Source organism: Homo sapiens, chromosome 21, assembly GCF_000001405.40.
Source record: "Homo sapiens chromosome 21, GRCh38.p14 Primary Assembly".
NCBI classification, from domain to species: domain Eukaryota; kingdom Metazoa; phylum Chordata; class Mammalia; order Primates; family Hominidae; genus Homo; species Homo sapiens.
This window is the reverse complement of record NC_000021.9, coordinates 26,389,193-26,407,563: the sequence shown is the minus strand read 5'-3', so window position 1 is coordinate 26,407,563 and position 18,371 is coordinate 26,389,193. Positions and strand designations below refer to the sequence as shown.

The window sequence follows — 18,371 nt, the reverse complement described above, 5'->3', positions numbered from 1 at the left end:
GACACAAATCAGATAAGTAGGCTGGTGGTAATTAGCATCCCTGCCCAGGGAGAAGAGAAGCCAGTAAGGCTTGGATAAGCAGCTTGATTCTGTCTTAAAGAACAATTTGTTTGGTATTTCGTCCTTGGGATAGTTTGCTGAGAATGATGATTTCCAGCTTCATCCATGTCCCTACAAAGGACATGAACTCATCCTTTTTTATGGCTGCATAGTATTTCATGGTGTATATGTGCCACATTTTCTTAATCCAGTCTATCATTGTTGGACATTTGGGTTGGTTCCAAGTCTTTGCTATTGTGAATAGTGCCGCAATAAACATACGTGTGCATGTATACGTATGTAACAAACCTGCACATTGTGCACATGTACCCTAAAACTTAAAGTATAATAATAATAAAATTTAAAAAAAAAGAACCCTTTGATGAGATAACCTAGGGCCTTCACTTAACCTGGACCACCAGTGAATATGAGTCATTTGTTTCAACCCTAAGCCATTTTAATATAGAGACAGATGAAACTATAGAAAATGTGCTGCCTGCCCAGAGAAGCAGAAACAATAGGCTTGCTCGCTTTTCAGGGTATTAACCTTGAGGAGAGAAAACTGGCTCTGAGGACAGAGGAAGGAAGCAAGAGCTTCCCAGGCATTAAAAAGATTAAGGGAAATAGTACTGGACTGGAGCAGAGAGGAAATTATTTGCCTGTCTCAGAGAGGACATTTCTGTTGTTATTGCCCCTATAAACTATCTTCACCCTCAGCCCTAAACCGGGTAGGGCTGATAGGATTTGTGGAGGTAATATATCAAATTAGTCTTGCTAAGAAAACTCCAGGGGAAGGCCTGGGGCCAAGGATTGCCCTGAAATTTATCTAAGTGACAGGACACTCAAAGCAGCAAATGGAGTGCTTGCTTGCCCCTGTGGACATCACAGCCAAAACTATGCTCATTAGAGGAAGGTCTCTACCTTAGTTCCAGGGAAGAATAAAGGATCCCCAGGGTTAACCAATGACCACCTAAAATCCTTATAAACCAGGCTTGAACTTAGGTGAAAATGAAAGAAAAATGTCTTGTCATGAACACAATCAGAAGTTCAGAAATTTCCAGCAATGTTAGGAGAAAATATGAGAGCTGTAAGGTTGCACATCTGCCCTATTCGTCGTATTGCAAATGATCAAGATTACACAAATATTACAAAAGCAAGGAAGCTGTCTACTTAGTTGTAAGGGGAGAAGGCGTGGAAAGACATTCAGCCGCTGGGCAAATGCTGAGAATGTCTGAGGGTCCTTCAGGAGCCCTTCTCCAGCCTGTGCAGCCACCCATTTATCACCCTAAGGGCGCAGAGGCATGAATAACGCCGAGCAAAGCCACAGACACACCCACCCACTCTCTGTGTAACACAGTCAGCTTTACCACACCACAGCCAAACACATTCTACTTGCTTATACAACAGCTCTTCGGGGTTCATAGCATGCTCATCGTCTTCACATGAAACAAAAACAGCCCTTTGTGCTCCCCACTGCCCACCAATTATTTCAGTCTCTGGTTGTGTTCCCCAGGGAACAGACTCTAAAGCAGAGTGTGGCATGCAGACACTCTGCTGAGAAGAGCCCTTGGGTTCGACACCTAAGGGAGGGAGAAAAAGGGAGCAGGATGTAGCAGAAAAATGCTGAGTCATGATGCTGACTCAACGACAGCTTCAACCAACTCCAGGACTAGCTCTGAAGTCCTGCCCCTTCAGTGTTGTCCTGAGTTGGGCCAGGATGGCCAGGATTTTATATCTTCACTGAGCAGTCCCTGGATCTGGACCACTCCAGAAATGGGTGCACCCTTGGGCAAGGCAGCTCACTGTAGCTCAGGCAGTGCCTGAGAAGCTGATGGCTGAAGGCTGGTGCCAACAACACTCACAACAGCTGGGACAACAAGTCTTTCCTTAAAGGGGGGATATGGACCACACAGCACAGTGTCTGCCACATGTTCTACATGCATTTTCTAAATATTCATGAAACTTCAGAAAAACGTACGTGGAACTGAAGTTTGAACTTCCCAACCTTTTTCAATGCAGAAACCATAACAGGAAAATAAACATTTCTAAGTGTGAAAAATGCTTTAATACCGAGCACCCTGAAGAATTAAAGTAACAACAGCCTCTAGTATTGCAATGCTGGAACAAAGATAGAAAAGTTCCTCTGTTTTAAAACAGCCTCTCCCCTCTGTCTCCTTGTGAGAAAGGTTTATGAGTTTCAATCAGTCAGTGACTCCTTGCTGAGGGCCTGCTATGTGCTCAGCATTCCACTAGATCCAGCTAGGCAGGATGCCAGAGAAATACATAACGTGGTCTCTAACTGAGGATGGTATTGTCTAGATGGGAAGGAAAATAAAACACCCGAGAGCATAGGAGAGCATCTTTTTGCTCAGTTGCCTGCTCCCAGGAGGTTTAGGTATCGTGGTCTAGCAAAAAGAGCACAGGAAACTCAGTTCAGACCCTGATTTCTTTACTTAATTACTGTATGAAGTTGGTCACTTTATTGATGTGAGGTTGTTCTAACACCTATGTCTCTGAGGATCAGTTTCCTCATCTTTAAACTGGATCTACTATACCTAGCTTACAGATATGAAAATTAAACGAGGCAAGGGTTGTAAACATGCATTGTACATCTTAAGGAACAATGCACATGTTTGCTGCTTTCTTCATACCCAACTCTCAGGGTGTCGGAGAAGAGAGAGAAAAACTGATGAGAGTTGGAGAAGTCAGAGATTTTAGAATAGGGTTCTTTCGGCAAGGCCTTGAGGTCTTGAGCCTTTCAGCAAGGCCTGCAAGCTGGTAATGTTCTGCCTACCCAACATGCTCATAGTCCCTGTGGCCTGTCCTGCACAATGTTAAATTTGTGTTTACTTTGAATTCCTTCAGGAGGGGCACATCATCCCTACTGTCTGTCTGCACAGCCCAGTGAGCAGAGAGCAGCAGGAACAGAGCTTGGGGCGAAAGAGTTTATGTTCTTGAACCTGCTGCAGCCCAGGAGAAACACACAGCAGAGGAAATACAGGTCCTCTCAAGGAAGTCGGGAGGCGCTTCCTACAAGGATATGCATCTGTGTAGGAGGGTTTAAGAAAGCTGGAAACAGGCCTGGATTGGAGGCCGTCAAAAGGTGGGGTTTCTTTTTGTGACTGATTAGCTTACTAATTTTTATCTAGGAGGGAGGCAGGAAGGTGAAATTGAGGTTTGAGTTGTCGCGGGCAAAGGAGCAAACGGAAGGAGGGATCTTTAGCCTTTTTTCTGTTAGCAGTGTGGCCTTATCTCTGTCTTGTCCCAAGCCTGGTCACCATGTAGCCCTGTCTCAACAGGGTGTCTACTCTGTGAGCATGTTTATGATCCATTGGGAAGATCATGGATCATTTTCGATGTCTGATGTCTCACCAGATGCATACATCTGCAAACTTCCTGGCTGCATTAGCTGTCTGAGCTTGCTAGCCTGCCTTCATCGAGGTAGGATAATTTGTGAGTTAAGAGGTATAGGTTGAGAGAGGCCTAATTCTGACAGGGAAAGATGATACAGAGGGGAGTCTTAATGGACGAGTAAGAATGTAGCAAGCATTCACTACAGCAGAGATCGTCAAAGTATGGCCCCAGACAAGCATCATCTGCATCACCTGTGGACTTCTTAGAAATGCAGATTCTTGGTCTTCGTCCCTCACCTACTAAGTCAGAAACCCTGGGGATGATGCCCAGCCATCTGTGGTTTACAAGCCTTCCCAGTGTTGCTGATCAGGCTAGAGTGAGAACTCCAGCCATGAAGTAGGTGAGAAGGCTCACAAGTGCAGCTGTGAGCAGCTCAGTGCAGCTAATAAATACTAGTGTGATTAGGAAAGGCTTTAAGGGGGAAATGGGTGTTGAATTGGGCCTTTCAAGAGGTGGAAAAGTAGGTAGGTGTGAGGAGGAGGAGGAGGAGAGGCTGCCATTGATTCAAAAATAACATGAGCAGATGCTCCTGCCTCTGGCTTAATTCTTAGCTTGGGACTTGAAGTCCAAAGATTGCAGTGCACTGAGGTCAGAATGACAAAAATATGTGAGATAAGACCAAGGGTGCATTATTCTGGATTTTCAACTAAAACGAAGACTTAATGAGGAACTTTCCCAACATTATTCTGAAGTAGGGAAAAATGCTTCAAGCAGTCCATCCGGAAGTTAGAAGTTATCAGAGAATTATAGTAATTGAAAGAGATATTTTAGAGCCAAATTAAAGAGGATGTAAGAGTTACATTAATTGTCTAGAAGACAGCCTTTGTATTGAATATGAGAACACAACCTCAGCTATAAGCTTTTAGTGAAATTAAATCTCATCACCGCTAGCCAAACTTGTGACTTTCCCATATGAAGGAGTGGAGCCCACCTTCCGGAAAAAAATTGCTGCAACACTCACTTGCCAAGGTCTTACAAGAGGGGTACGTGACATGGAGACTAAAAGGAACAAAACCATGATCCTAGTGACGAAAAGACAATCTCCTTGATTTGGGACTTAATGAAATTACATGTTAACCAATTGAGTCATTTCAAATCCAAGATGAGAACGTTTCAACTAGTCTTTTCATTTATCCTGGGTTGGTTTTGTTTTGTTTTTCAGAATTGATTGAGTTGCTTTTGCCTTTCCTTGCCACAGGAATGCACCTGACCAATTATTCATCTTTTCTACTCCTTTGATGTGGATGAGTTTGTGTTCTGTAAACATCTTCCCAGATTGTTTTTTGGACCTTGGAATTCTGTTGAGAGTGCGCGACTGATTTGCATGCTTCTGTCTCCTCCCTGGCTCCATACCTCATGCAGATGTTGCCATTTATGCTTTAGCTTTTTCAGCTCCCTTTATGGCATGAAGTAGTTTCTTCACGTTCCTCTAATTGCACCCTGAGAAATTATCTATCCACATACTCACTGGCAAAAAGCAATAGCAGATGGCTTTAAAACGGAAATAGGAATTCTTCTGGAACCTTAAAGGGAAAGATGGTGTGCAGAGAGTGGATTAATGTGCATTTCACAGTTTTAGTTCCCATTAAGAAAACTCGACTCCATCAAATCAGATATCGACTTGACAAAACTATTCATTCTGTGATGGTTGACTTGCCCTTCTTCAACTGTGACATAAATGTCTGACTTCAGGGAAATAGAGCATTTTCTTTCCTCACTGATGGGAAAACTATTCAAATGCACTGCTATAATATTTATTTAATTAGATTGCTGAAATCTTTCTATGGAGAAGTAAATGCAACCCCTCCCTCTTTCCTCTTTAGACCTATAAAAGAAAGCTGACTTGTAGTAGTAAAATATTTTAATGTGATTTGAGCCTTCCAAAAATTGAAATTTGCAAAACACAAATTTAAGAGAAGCCTCCTATAAACTATACTGTTATTTTAATCAGCTCTTCTATTCACTTTTCTTTTTTTATTTGCCAGCTTTCCTTTTGATTGTGTCATAATAACTGTCTAGACTGTTCTCAACTGTGATGGATTTTAGGAGACTTTGTACAAATGATGCTGGAAAAAAATAAATTAGCAGTACTGTCCATTAAATTACTGTGCATTAAAGTTATGATCAGAAAAAGCATTGATTACTTACATACCAGCTAAGATTGCCTACTGTCCATTTTCTTCAAGGTTACAGCTTGTTAGAAAGCTTATATCTACCTTTCTATCAAAATGCAAGTATATAAACTAAAGAGCTTCTGCACAGCCAATGGAACTATCATCAGAGTCAACAGACAACCTACAGAATGGGAGAAAACTTTTGCAATCTATCCATCTGACAAAGGCCTAATATCCAGAGTCTACAAGGAACTTAAACAAATTTACAAAAAAAAAAAAAAACAACCGCATTAAAAAGTGGGCAAAGGACATGAACACAACACTTCTCAAAAGAAGACATTCATACAGCCAACAAACATATTTTAAAAAGCTCAACATTACTGATCATTAGAGAAGTGTAAATCAAAACCACAATGAGATACCATCTCATGCCAGTCAGAATGGCAATTATTAAAATGTCAAAAAAAACAACTGATGCTGCTGTTGTTGTGGAGAAAAAGAAATGCCTTTACATTGTTGATGGCAATATAAATGAGTTCAACCATTGTGGAAGACAGTATAGCAATTCCTCAAAGGCCTAGAGGCAAAAATACCATTTGACCCAGCAATCCCTTTCCCAGGTATATACCCAAAGGAATATAAGTCATTCTATTATAAAGATACATGCACTCATATGTTCACTGCAGCACTATTCACAATAGCAAAGACATGGAATCAACCCAAATGCCCTTCAATAATAGACTGGATAAAGAAAATATGGTACCCATACACCATGGAATACTATGCAGCCATAAAAAAGAATGAGATCATGTCCTTTGCAGAGACATGGATGGAGTTGGAAGCCATTACCCTCAGCTAACTAACACAGGAAAAGAAAACCAAACACTGCATATTCTCACTTATAAGTGAGAGCTGAACAATGAGAACACATGAACACATAGAGGGAAACAAAACACACTGCAACCTGTGAGGGGGAACAGGGGAAGGGAGAGCATCAGCAAGAATAGCTAATTGATGCTGGGCTTAATACCTAGGTGATGGGTTGATCTGTACAGCAAATCACCATGGCACACATTCGTCTATGTAACAAACCTGCACATCCTGCACATGTACCCTGGAACTTAAAGGTTGAAGAAAAAACACAATTTTAAAAAATAATGACCTCCAACAATAAGTATGTTTCTATGTTCCTATTTAACTTACTGTTTTAAACTAGATGCAAAAGCTTCGTGATAATCTTGATTTAGTGTTAAGTTACAGCTATGATTATAATTGTATCTGGGACCGGTCTTATGAGTTTCTGACTTCTGTGATTCCAGGAACTGCCAAGATTCAAAGTCACAGTTATTTAGGATTTACTTAAAGCAACAACAACAATAACAATAAAAACGTATTATATCGGAAGCAACTCTTCTGGGCTGATATTTAGTCAGTAGGTACTGGTATAGCCATAATGAAATACTTTCCAGCAGGTTAATCAGCTTATGCCCTGAGCCTCCCCAAACCCAGTGCCCTTCCACTCTACCTGGGCTGTCTCAGTACCTCCTCCAGTGACTCTATCTCTTAATGACTTGGCAATGAACGAATGGTTAATACGTGGCTCAGTAAGGAAGCTCTAACCATAGAATGGTCTGATTGGCTACTACTGATTGGTTAGTATATATGTCGTAAACATTTTAACATCCTCCTGATTAAATCTTATCAGTTACCATCTCAGCTAACATCTTAGTATCAGTGTATTGGTTCCTTCTTGCATTGCTGTAAAGAACTACCCCAGACCGGGTAATTTATGAACAAAAGAGGTTTAACTGGCTCACAGTTCTGCAGGTTATATAGAAAATATAGCTGGGAAGTCCTTAAGAAACTTTCAATCATGGTGGAAGGTGAAGAGGAAGGAGTCACATCTTACACGGCTGGAGCAGGAGGAAGCAGGGGCGGGGGGAGGTGCTACACACTTTTAAACAACCAGATCTCATGATAACTCACTCACTATCATGAGAGCAGCAAGGGAGAAGCCCACCCCCATGATCCAATCACCTCTCACCAGGCCCCTCCTCCAACACTGGGGATTACAATTCAGCATGAGATTTGGGCAGGGACACAAATCCAAACCATATCAATCAGTACTCTTGTGATAGTAAAGCCAGGTAGGACTGGGTCTCAAAACAACCTCTGGATGAGTGGAAAGGCATAAAAAGGAGGTAGAGTAAGCCATGAGGAGGGGGAAAAATATGATAGGTGGTAGGGGGCTTTTAATGGGAGGCTTCAAAAGACTGTCGTATTACAAGACTTCTACTTCACAATTTCCTTTCAGGTCAACCTTATCAATGCCAATTACCTAATTGCTGTATAGGATTTTCTCTGAGACAAGGTGATTTACTGTGTTCTGCAATATGATCAGACATATTCAGCCTCTGAAGTTAAAACCTGGTGATATTCATGGGTGAGGAGGATTCTGCCTACAAACTTATATATATCTAGTAGATGTTGTGCCCTGCCCAGATCTCCTTTAGTGCATCTGTGCACCCATCTCCAAGCTGTCGTAAGTGTGGGTTTTCAGTGGCTCATGGATACACTGTCTTCTGCATAATTGGCCTTGGCCAAGGAAAGCCCCTTTTCCTGGACATAGCTGAGGCCCAAGCTTCCACCATCATTGGAATAGCTGCAGCTAAGGACTGATTATGTGGCCAGCCTCCTTGCAGGATAATTTTTTGCACCGCTCACACTCCAGAGTTCCCTATGGCATCAGGCTGAGGCCACAGGTCAGCTGTAACCACACCTTTCCTTAGTTTCTTCCCCTGTGTCATCCTGCTTGCCTCATGTCCTTAGAGATGTACTTAAAAATCTATGTATCAGGCTGCACTTTTAGGGAAACTAATGCATTTTTTCAAAACAGAAATTGAAGACATTTTTCTTTCTAAATATACATGGCAAAAGATTGTATTAATATAGTTTGGATATATGTCCCCTCTAAATCTCATGCCGATTTGTAATCCCCATTGTTGGAGGTGGGGCCTAGTGGGAGGTGATGGGATCATGGAGGCAGATTTCTCATGAATGGCTTAGTACCATCCCCTTGTTGCTGTCCTTGCCATAGTGAATAAGTTCTCATGAGATCTGGTCATTTAAAAGTCTGTGGCACCTCCCTCCACCACACTCTTTCTTGCTCCTGCTTTTGCTATGTGCTGTGCAAGCTCCCATTTTGCCTTCCACCATGACTAAAAGCTCCCTGAGGCCTCCCCAGAAGCCAAGCAGATGCCGGCATCATGCCTCCTGTACAACCTGCAGAACACTACGACAATTAAATCTCCTTTCTTTATAAATTACCCAGACTCAGGTATTTTAAAGAAATTGCAAGCAAACCTCTACTCCACAATTCCCTTTTAGGTCAACCGTATCAATGCCAATTACCTAATTATAGGATTTTCTCTGAGACAAGATGATTTATTGTGTTCTGCAATGCGATCAGACATATTCAGCCTCTGAAGTTAAAACTTGGGATATCCATGTGTGGGATATTCATACGTGCTGTTCTAGCAATGCAAGAGCAGCCTAATACACATATGGACAATTTTTAGACCTCTTGTCAAACAAATTTGAGAGACATCACTACTGTCTAGCTTTGATTTTCTACAAATTATGCTAACTAGGAATCTAAAATAAATTGAGTGCTGTGGCTCCAGTGGCACAATTGGTTAGCACGCGGTACTTATAAAGTGAATTGAAGTTCTACATTTCTTTTCTGTCACAATACCTTCTGTGAGGGAGGGGGCATGGAATTTCATGGTTGAAATTTATGCTTTCCATCATGTTTTCCCTACCTCTGAAAGAGATATTATCCTGCACAAATAAAGATTGGAAGGAAACTGTCAATACTTGGAAGACCACCAATTAACCACCTCAGCTAATAAATAGAGAAGGCACCTGGATATTTGGGGTTTGCCCCACCCCCCACGCCAGATTCGCTTTCCAACCTTCGCTATCCTCCTTTGAAATCCAAGACTTCAACTTCTAGGGACTGCACCAACAAGCTTCCTTGCCCTCCAGCTTTCAGTTTGGCCAATGGAAGATACTTGCCAGGAAATTGAAAGTTTAGTGCAGAATGATGTAAGCACTTTTATTCCAACAGCAACCTTCCTGGCAAGTCATCACAAGCTGGCTCTGGCCTTCCACCCAAGGACACTCTTCTTATTGGATGGCCCTCTTAATGCAGCCACTCTATGTTCCAGTCACTAACTGCTTCCTCCCCCTGCCCCTCAGCACTCCAGCTTTTGCTGACTCCAAAGTACTGCACTATTCTTTGATGTAATACTGCACTTAACCCCACCCACATGATTGTAAACAATCCCTTTGTTGAACTCTCTTCTCTGATCCTTTTTGAGCATTTTGTTTTCTGCTTGGTCACTGGGGAAAACAATAAGACACCCTAAGTTGGCTAACATCAGAATTGAAAACATTTCTTACTTGAAAAAAACGTAATGTGGTAAAAAATATTTAAGTAATTCTTATGGTATCGGATTACTTAGTGATATGGTTTGGCTCTGTATCCCCACCCAAATCTCATCTCGAACTGTAATCCCCACGTATTGTGGGAAGGACTTAGTGGGAGGTGATTGGATCATGGGGACAGTTTCTCCATGCTGTTCTCATAATAGTGAAGGAGTTCGCAGGAGATCTGATGGTTTTAAAGTGTGGCACTTTCCCTTCTTTCTCTCTCCTGCCACCTTGTGAAGATGTGCCTTGCTTCCCTTCACCTTCCTCCGTAATTGCAAGTTTCCTGAAGCCTCCTCAGCCATGTGGAACTGGGAGTCAATTAAACTTCTTTTGTTTAAAAATTACCCAGTGTCAGGTAGTATCTGTATAGCAATGTGAGAATGGACGAATACACTTAGTAACTCCTATATGCATTGCCCATTGATTCTTCAGTTATATTGTCATTCAATCATTGCTTTATTTATTCCACAACCAGTTACTGATCACCTACTAAGACTGATGCTCTGCAAGCTACAGTAACCACATAAGGTACATGACTATTGTGTCATGTACTACATCATACATTTCTTCCTATGGACAGCTTCCAACTTACCTTTGAACAATAATTGTAGGCAAATGAAGATGCTGAAGAATGGAGGGAAAACATTCTGACCTCTGACAGGGACTGAAGTGAGAAAACCCATGAATTATAAGGAAATGAAAAGTGACTTAAAAGACTAGTTTTCTTACACTAAGCAACTGAAGTCCCACTCTGGAGAGGGCTCAGTGAAGAGGGTGATCAGTCCTTTGTACAGAAATGTCTATACCCTAGAAGATGCCTGGTAGCTAAGTAGATATTCTTGAATCTGTGCTAAAAATTGGAGTGAAAGAGTCCCAAAAGCTTTGAAAACAATTTTCCAGGCTGTCCTAGCTAAGGGGCATGTCATTCAACAGTGACTAGTCAATTTAGTGAAAGTCAGTCACACACAGTTTGATATTCTCAAGACTAAAAAAACCAACTGCGTGACTGAATTTTTTATTTTTCAAGGTAGTCGTTATTGAAGGAACCTGAATTTTTCATATGATTGTTTTTAGAATAACACTGATGTTGAAATTTTGCATTATTCTTTCTGCTGCAGACATCTTGAAACAGAAAAATAAACACTGCAGAGTAGAAAAGTCTTCAGGGCAAAAGTCTGGCTTAGGGTACCTCCTAAAAAATATCTATAAGTGGCCAGGTGCAGTGGCTCACGCCTGTAATCCCAGCAGTTTGGGAGACCAAGGCAGGTGGATCACGAGGTCAAGAGACTGAGACCATCCTGGCCAATATGGTGAAACCCCATCTCCAGGAAAAATACAAAAATTAGCTGGCTGTGATGGCACGCACTTCTAATCCCAACTATTCAGGAGGCTGAGGCAGGGGAATCGCTTGAACCCAGGAGGTGGAGTTTGCAGTGAGCCCAGATCGTGCCGTTGCAGTCCAGCCCGGGAGACAGAGTGAGACTCTGTCTCAAAAAAAAAAAAAAAAAAAAAAAAAAAAAAAAAATATATATATATATATATATATATATATATATACACACACACACGTATATATATATATACACATATGTATATATATATACATATATATACACATATATATACACATATATAAGCTTTATCTCACTATATTGCTATATTTCTGAATCATAACTAAATGCTTTTTCAAAAAAAATGTATTCTTTAAATGAAAGGAGTTGAAAAAATGTTGATATAATCAAGGAAAGCTATTGAGTTTAAGATAAGCAGAGAGCGTGGCCTTCATCCTTAATCCCCACCACCTGATCCAGTTCCTGGTGGTTTCATAAAGTTTGTTGAATGACTTTTTTAAAAAAGCAGAAGTTATTTGTAGATGGCAATAATCCCATCTAAGAGTCTGAAGAGACATTTGACAGAGCCATGGAGCAGTATAGCAAATACTTAGGAAATGGTAGGTCCACATAATGTAAATTTACTTGAAGTCATATTAGGTGGAGATCTGTAAGCTTATTTTGAAATATAAAGATTTGATTATATTTTTGTGAAATACAGTCTTATTTCTATCATATGCTCATCTTCATCATACCTGCCATTTGCATTTTGACATCATGATGGGGAACAGGAAGCGGTAATCGGCCTCAGGCACAAATTTACCTCCAGGTGAAGTGAGAGGGATGACCATTTGCTTGGCTCACTTGGTTACACTTAGGGAATAGGGATTTGGGAGAGTTTGGGAACCACAGAGCCATTCTTTCTGAGGACTCTTCCCTGGTGCTGCCAGATTTCAGGGTTTGAGGTTCACAACACAAGACGCTTGTGATCTTCTCTCTCCTTCCCATTCTGACATTCCAGTATGGGGCACTGTTTGTTGGCTGGTCTCTGTTAAATACAAGGATTCCTCCATAGGGTAAGAAATTTGAGGGTGAAGTAGATTCCCTGTCCCAGGCTTCTGAGTACCTTGGGAGCTGGACTGTATGCCATTTAGCATCATATTCCAAAGCCAAGGTCAGTGCTTGGTTGATGGAAGACACGTAAACACTGGTAAACACATGTAAACACTGGCTGTAAACATCTGTGGAGTGAATCAGTGCATTTTGAGATTTGGCAGAGTAACGTCCACTGCACCTTTCCAAGGGGAAAGGTTTCAAAACCATAAACAACTTCATTCGGCAAGTTAGGAAACAGATCTAATTTGTGCACAATTTGACATGAGGTAACTTTTTGGAAGGTATACATGATAAGCATAATGTATTCAACTTCCTAGAAAAATCAATGGCTTCCACTTATATTCAAACCAGGAAATTTGGTTCTTTATGTATAATCGTTAATGGTCAACTATGGCCGAGATCAATTTAGTCCATATACTTTGATATGGAAAGACTATTATGTCTTTATTTCTTTAAATCAACTTAGTTCAACTTTGTGACTCACTCCGTTGGAATTCCTACTCATGCTTGGCCCCATCCTCTAAATCCCACCACCATGCACGCACACACATAAGGTGCATACACCCACACATATAGACACGCGCTCTCAGATCAGGCACTGAGAAGGCAAAGAAAACAATAAAACAGCAGAAGGATCCATCTAAGATCCTTGAATTTTTTGCTCTACTACTGAATACATCTATTATGGTCTCTTTATGTCTAGCGACACAGCCTCTGTGTCTCACTTAGGGTTGGGGATTTGGGTAAGGCTGGGAACCACGAACTATTCCTTTCTAAGGCCTGATCACTCTCCCTGGAACTGCCAGACTGCGGGGCTTGAGGTCCTTCCTCCCTTTCCCATTCTGACTCAACTCTTTCCCTGCATTCAGAACCACTCCCCTTCTCACCAACTTTGGAACTCCATTTCTTCTAAAGGGCTGAGATTTTTATATAAAGCCAAAAAAAGCTTTGGATTTAAGATTGCTTATGTTTTCTGCCAGACTAACATCCATGTGGCAAGGAATTTCAAATCGTGAATTCTGCCTTGAAATAGAGCAAGGAAAAAACAGGTAGAAGAGATAAAATGTATTTCCTTAGATTGTCTGCCACAGTACAAAACCAAAGTGTTTTTGGTGAAATGCAAGAGGGGTATAAGCGGATATCTGTAATACCACAGTAGGCAAAAATACAGGCCCATAAAAGATGAATTTTAAAATTCTATTTTAGGAATTATTAATTATTATGATCTTGAAAGAATCACTTTAATTCTACATTTTTACTCATCCCACCTGAAATCCTAGTAGACTACATGGTGGTGGGATGACAGCCAGTGTGATTTGTCAGGGTGTATCTGTGTGTGTTTCCTTCTGAACTCTTACCTTACAGTATCATTTCTCTCTCAGGAGCTTGGCTTCTTTGAGAAATAAATTTAGAACTCAGGTGGGATGTCTGTGAAATAGAAGCATAAAAAGCCTAGAAAACAGTTTTTTCTGATATTGGAATCTACCTCTGATAGGCATGATTTACCATCAGATTACTTTGAGACTAACCCGACCTCTTCATACACATTTTTCATATGTGGCATACTTTGTTAAATATTTTGCTTTAAATACAAAGAAAATGTATTTATGAAAAATTATGAATTTTTTTCCAACTGACGTTGTTCTAAAGCAATTTTTAAAACTTTTATATAGAATTCTTTATTCTTTTACAAGTTGACTAAGTATTTTGCTTAAAAAAGAAAAAATATTTATACGTATATGGATAGATGCATTTTTCATGAGGAAAGAAAAATTAATATTCAAGATTCATAGGCATATCACTGAGCTACGCTACATGAGTTTCTGTGGAGTATATTCTCCTAAAATTTTGACCACCTACTGTTTCTTAAGAAATGAGGCCCATGTTATGTTGTCACTAAATAGTCAATTAGATGCCTGCTTTCAGGGACAATTACACATTTGGTATGTTTGCACATGTCTACCAAATATTTTCAAAATGCTTTGAAACCCAAACACATCCTAGAAGAATTGGCACTATTCTCAAACCCGTCAAGGGTCCTAAAGTTCCAAGTAACAATCTGGCTCACAGGCCATTACTGCTCCCACAGCTGGGCTCAACATCTGTTCTGAATATAATATGGTTTGGCTCTGTGTCCCCACCTAAATCTCACCTTGAATTGTAAATCCCATAATCCCCATGTGCCAAGGGCGGGACCAGGTGGAGGTAATTGGATCATGAGGGCAGTTTCCCCCATGCTGTTCTTGAGATAATGAGTGAGTTTCACGAGATCTGATGGTTTTATAAGTGTCTGGTATTTCCCTTGCTTGTACTACCTCCACTTTGCTGCCCTGTGCAGAAGATGTCTGTTTCTCGTTTTCCTTCTGCCATGATTGTAAGTTTCCTGAGACCTCCCCAGCCATGTGGAACTGTGAGTCAATCAAACCTCTTTCCTTTATAAATTACCCAGTCTCAGGTATTTCTTTATAGTAGTATGAAAATGGACTAACACAAAATATGTATTTACTGGTGAACAACAAGAATTCAGAGGCTGATCTGAAAGGATCAAATCAACTGGACCTATGTTAAATGTGGCCTGTATTTAAACCCTTTGCTGAATCTTTACTTTTTCCTTGAAGCTACTGTCTTCCATTAACGAGAAAAGATGTAGGAGGATTCTTATTTTATACTTTGTTTCATTTGGTTGACAGATGTAGGTTGATAATGAGTAAGGAGCCTTTAACAAGTGAGAAGGGTCTCAGATATGGCTCTTTCCTTGGCTCTAAAAACTTTATTAAATATTTCTATTATAAGACATGACTTATAAGAAATGTTGGTTACCTTCAGGGCTTGTATTTAGCTGGTGTGACTGTGTATTAAAATACTGAAATGCTTTGGTACCCTTAGAATTATCCCAAATCCCCTCCCATACCACTGCTGGGTCCTCCTGACCTCCCAATGATCTAGCAAAGAATCTAGCTCTACGTCTCTTCTGATTGGTTTGGTGTCCGTTTCATCTAGTCGTTAACTGTTTTTCACATTGTCTCAGTTCTCTTAATTATCTTGCTTTTCTGTGCTTGGAGATAAGCCAGATTGATGGTAGGGTTTACAGAATATTTTTTATAAGTAAGTCATTTTCCATTATGAAAAGAATCTTTTATTTCAAGCATTGTGTTCCTTTGGAGACACTACTAATGTAATCAACAAAACAGGAAGGAACTAGAAATTATAACACATCATATACCCAGTGCTTCTCCACCCCTAGCTTCTCATGACAATCCCTGCATTACCCATTACCCTCTCTGCTGTCTTGTGCCATGCGTGAGTCTTCTTGCCATCCCACCCCACCATACACCTGACACCCAAATTGGTTTTCCTCATTCAGCTTGCCTTACATGGGACATGCCACGTTTACACTTCCACAAATTCCTCCCATCCTTTTTATATACCCCATCCATCCATATGACTCCACTGCGTTCTTATCCTTAGGACCCTGCTTTTGGCATTCAAAGGAATCAATTAGCTCCACATTTCACTGCTGTACGGATCATTGATATTACCATGAGAAGGCAGGATTTGTATCTAGTAAGCTGTGTTTTAACTGTGACATTTTGGAGGCAGAGTTCTCAACTGTCCTTTGTTAGCCAATCCAAATGACACTCTCAATCATGAGTGCTACAGGCCTGGATAGTGATGTTGACTCAAGAAGCTGACTGAACCTGGCAGGGCCTGCAGTGCTCATGCCTACTTCCCATCTGTGTGAAAGTCCTTTCCAGGAGAATAAGCATTTTCTAAAATTGTACAGATATCTCCGAAATGAAGCAGAGCTGTTTATACCATTATCTAGTGAGTTTAAGAGAGTGTTCAGAGTGCCTGCCTGCAAGGAGCAAGCAAGGAAATAATAAATCAGTCTGCTTTTAATTTTTCAGGATGACTGGATTGGGTCCCAGGTCATCACATTGTTACGGTGTCTTAGATTTGCTTTGGCTCTAGAGTTACTACTAAGTAATAATCTCTAATCCAGTTGCACTTACCCTTCTCTCAAGTCACCTTGTGTTCAATAAGGATAAACATTACTCACTGGTATATTGTTTTAAGAGGCTTTCAAACATCATGAATATCAGACTCTACTTCTTATAGCACAATCCATTAGCCATACCTTACTGCCTGATATTTCAGACCACAAATATTTAAAATCTGCTCACTTTTTGCTCATTCTAATTCATCAAAGAATCTGATTAAAAATAGAATTTATTTCAGCTTTTGGGTTTTCTGCAAAACAGCCCTCATATTCTGCCTTGGTCTATATTTTAGGAGACTTTTGTCTTACACTGTTCCCTGTTCTGATATTTAAGAAAAAATATTGGAACATACAGGTTTGCTAAAAATGACCCAAACTACTTGAAGGAGAAACAGTAGCCAAGAGTGTGGGGGTGGCCATGGCAAAGATGTTGCCGGTTTTCAGAAATATCAAGACCATCTGCTATGTCAACAACATTTCTGCCACAGTCAAAACCAGCTGGTGAGAGGAAAGTCTCTCGGAGTGTCAGGTTCTAACATGAGTGAAGACGGCCCTCTCTAAAGGGGAAGTGTGTTTTAGAAGAGGCTTGACAGCTGGGGAGAGAGCCTGTGGGGAGTTGCAGGCCACAACAAGGTCCGGGTTTGCAAACAAAGCATAGATCAGACTGCTGATGAGGGTGTGATCATCAGAGGCAGCCATCAAGACTTAATTCTACTTGTCCTGGACATGTCTCAAGAATGCATCAGTCACACATAAGGCATTTATAGATGTGAGACACCACATTACTCACTGGAGCTTCATGTTCACACCTTGACTGGAGATCTTATGGGACATCATTAGATTCTGTTATCTCCTTTTCTTCCTGTAGCTGTCCTGGAAGAGCATGATGAGGTGGGGTGGGGTGGGAGGCTGTCTTCAGAATATTCTGGGCAGCGATGCAGTACGGGAAGAACTACTTAGTCAGAGGACACACCAGGGGAGGTGGAGAATGGAGAGTGCTCTCCCAGGAAAACATTTCCCTAGGCTATGTTTACTCAGAAAGCAAGTCATTCTTGCCACTATTCATTTCCTCCTGCAAAGCTCATGATTCTAGTTAATCAAATGGCTTCATAAAGAATGCCATTATTATTTCAAGACAGGCAGAATGTAATCTGATGTACAACAAAGACCTGCATTATATCAGGTGTATCATGAAGGTCAATTGTATTTTGTTTTCAACCCTATAGAATATTGGGGTCAGTACAATCTTGTCATTTATAAGTCTAATCTTTTATATTTAGATGTAACATTTGACCTCTTTCAAACCACTATAATAATTAGGAATATTATAAAAGTAATGTAAGTAAGTTGTGGAGTCTTTTTGTGTGTGTGTGTGCTTCCATAAACATTCCTTCTGGTTTGGAATCTATTGGCCACTACTCTTCTGTTGTATTGTACTATGTTAATGGTTTTTCAAGAAAATAAGCAAGTGATAATCTCCATTTTAGTACATCTTAGACAGTGTCCTAGAAACTCAAATGATTTTTTCTATGTAAAAACAGAACGGCCCACCTTCCCAATTTGACTTTATTTATATAGGTAATTCTCAGAATTACCATAGAGCCAGTTCCCAAGACGATTCTCTTGAATAACTCATAAGATTGCCTTCATTGCACTGTTGTCTAAATGTGAGCCTTGCAGAGATTCCTTTTCATGACAGTTCATAAATATTCTATTTCCTTTTTAGCTAGACTTGTCACTAACCAAACATTTATAGTCAACATTTGTGAGGTGGCTATCAAGACTTAATTCTGCCTCTCCATACTAGAGATATTTATGTACTTACAAAAACAGCTACTTGGATTCATTAATGACAGCTTTAAA

The 18,371-nt window shown here is 40.5% G+C and overlaps 1 long non-coding RNA gene across 2 annotated transcripts in view, besides 1 other annotated feature; it reads right to left on the bottom strand.

The window, feature by feature from the left end:
* CYYR1-AS1 (CYYR1 antisense RNA 1) overlaps positions 1–13,929 on the bottom strand; it is a 175,618-nt gene extending 161,689 nt beyond the window's left edge. Inside the window, exon 1 of one of the 2 annotated variants that reach the window (NR_135516.1) lies at positions 13,867–13,929. This is a non-coding gene — a long non-coding RNA (CYYR1 antisense RNA 1). Of the gene's footprint in view, positions 1–1,435; positions 1,622–13,866 lie in introns of those variants that run through there. The other variant, NR_135515.1, reaches the window with a different exon arrangement.
* Positions 16,828–18,027: an enhancer, noted in NCBI's record as "MED14-independent group 3 enhancer chr21:27761856-27763055 (GRCh37/hg19 assembly coordinates)". NCBI's record gives its function as "activates an origin of replication core promoter dependent on BRD2, BRD4, P300/CBP and CDK7 cofactors, and independent of MED14, by STARR-seq in HCT116 cells {active_cell/tissue: HCT116}" and the evidence as "EXISTENCE:reporter gene assay evidence [ECO:0000049][PMID:35650434]".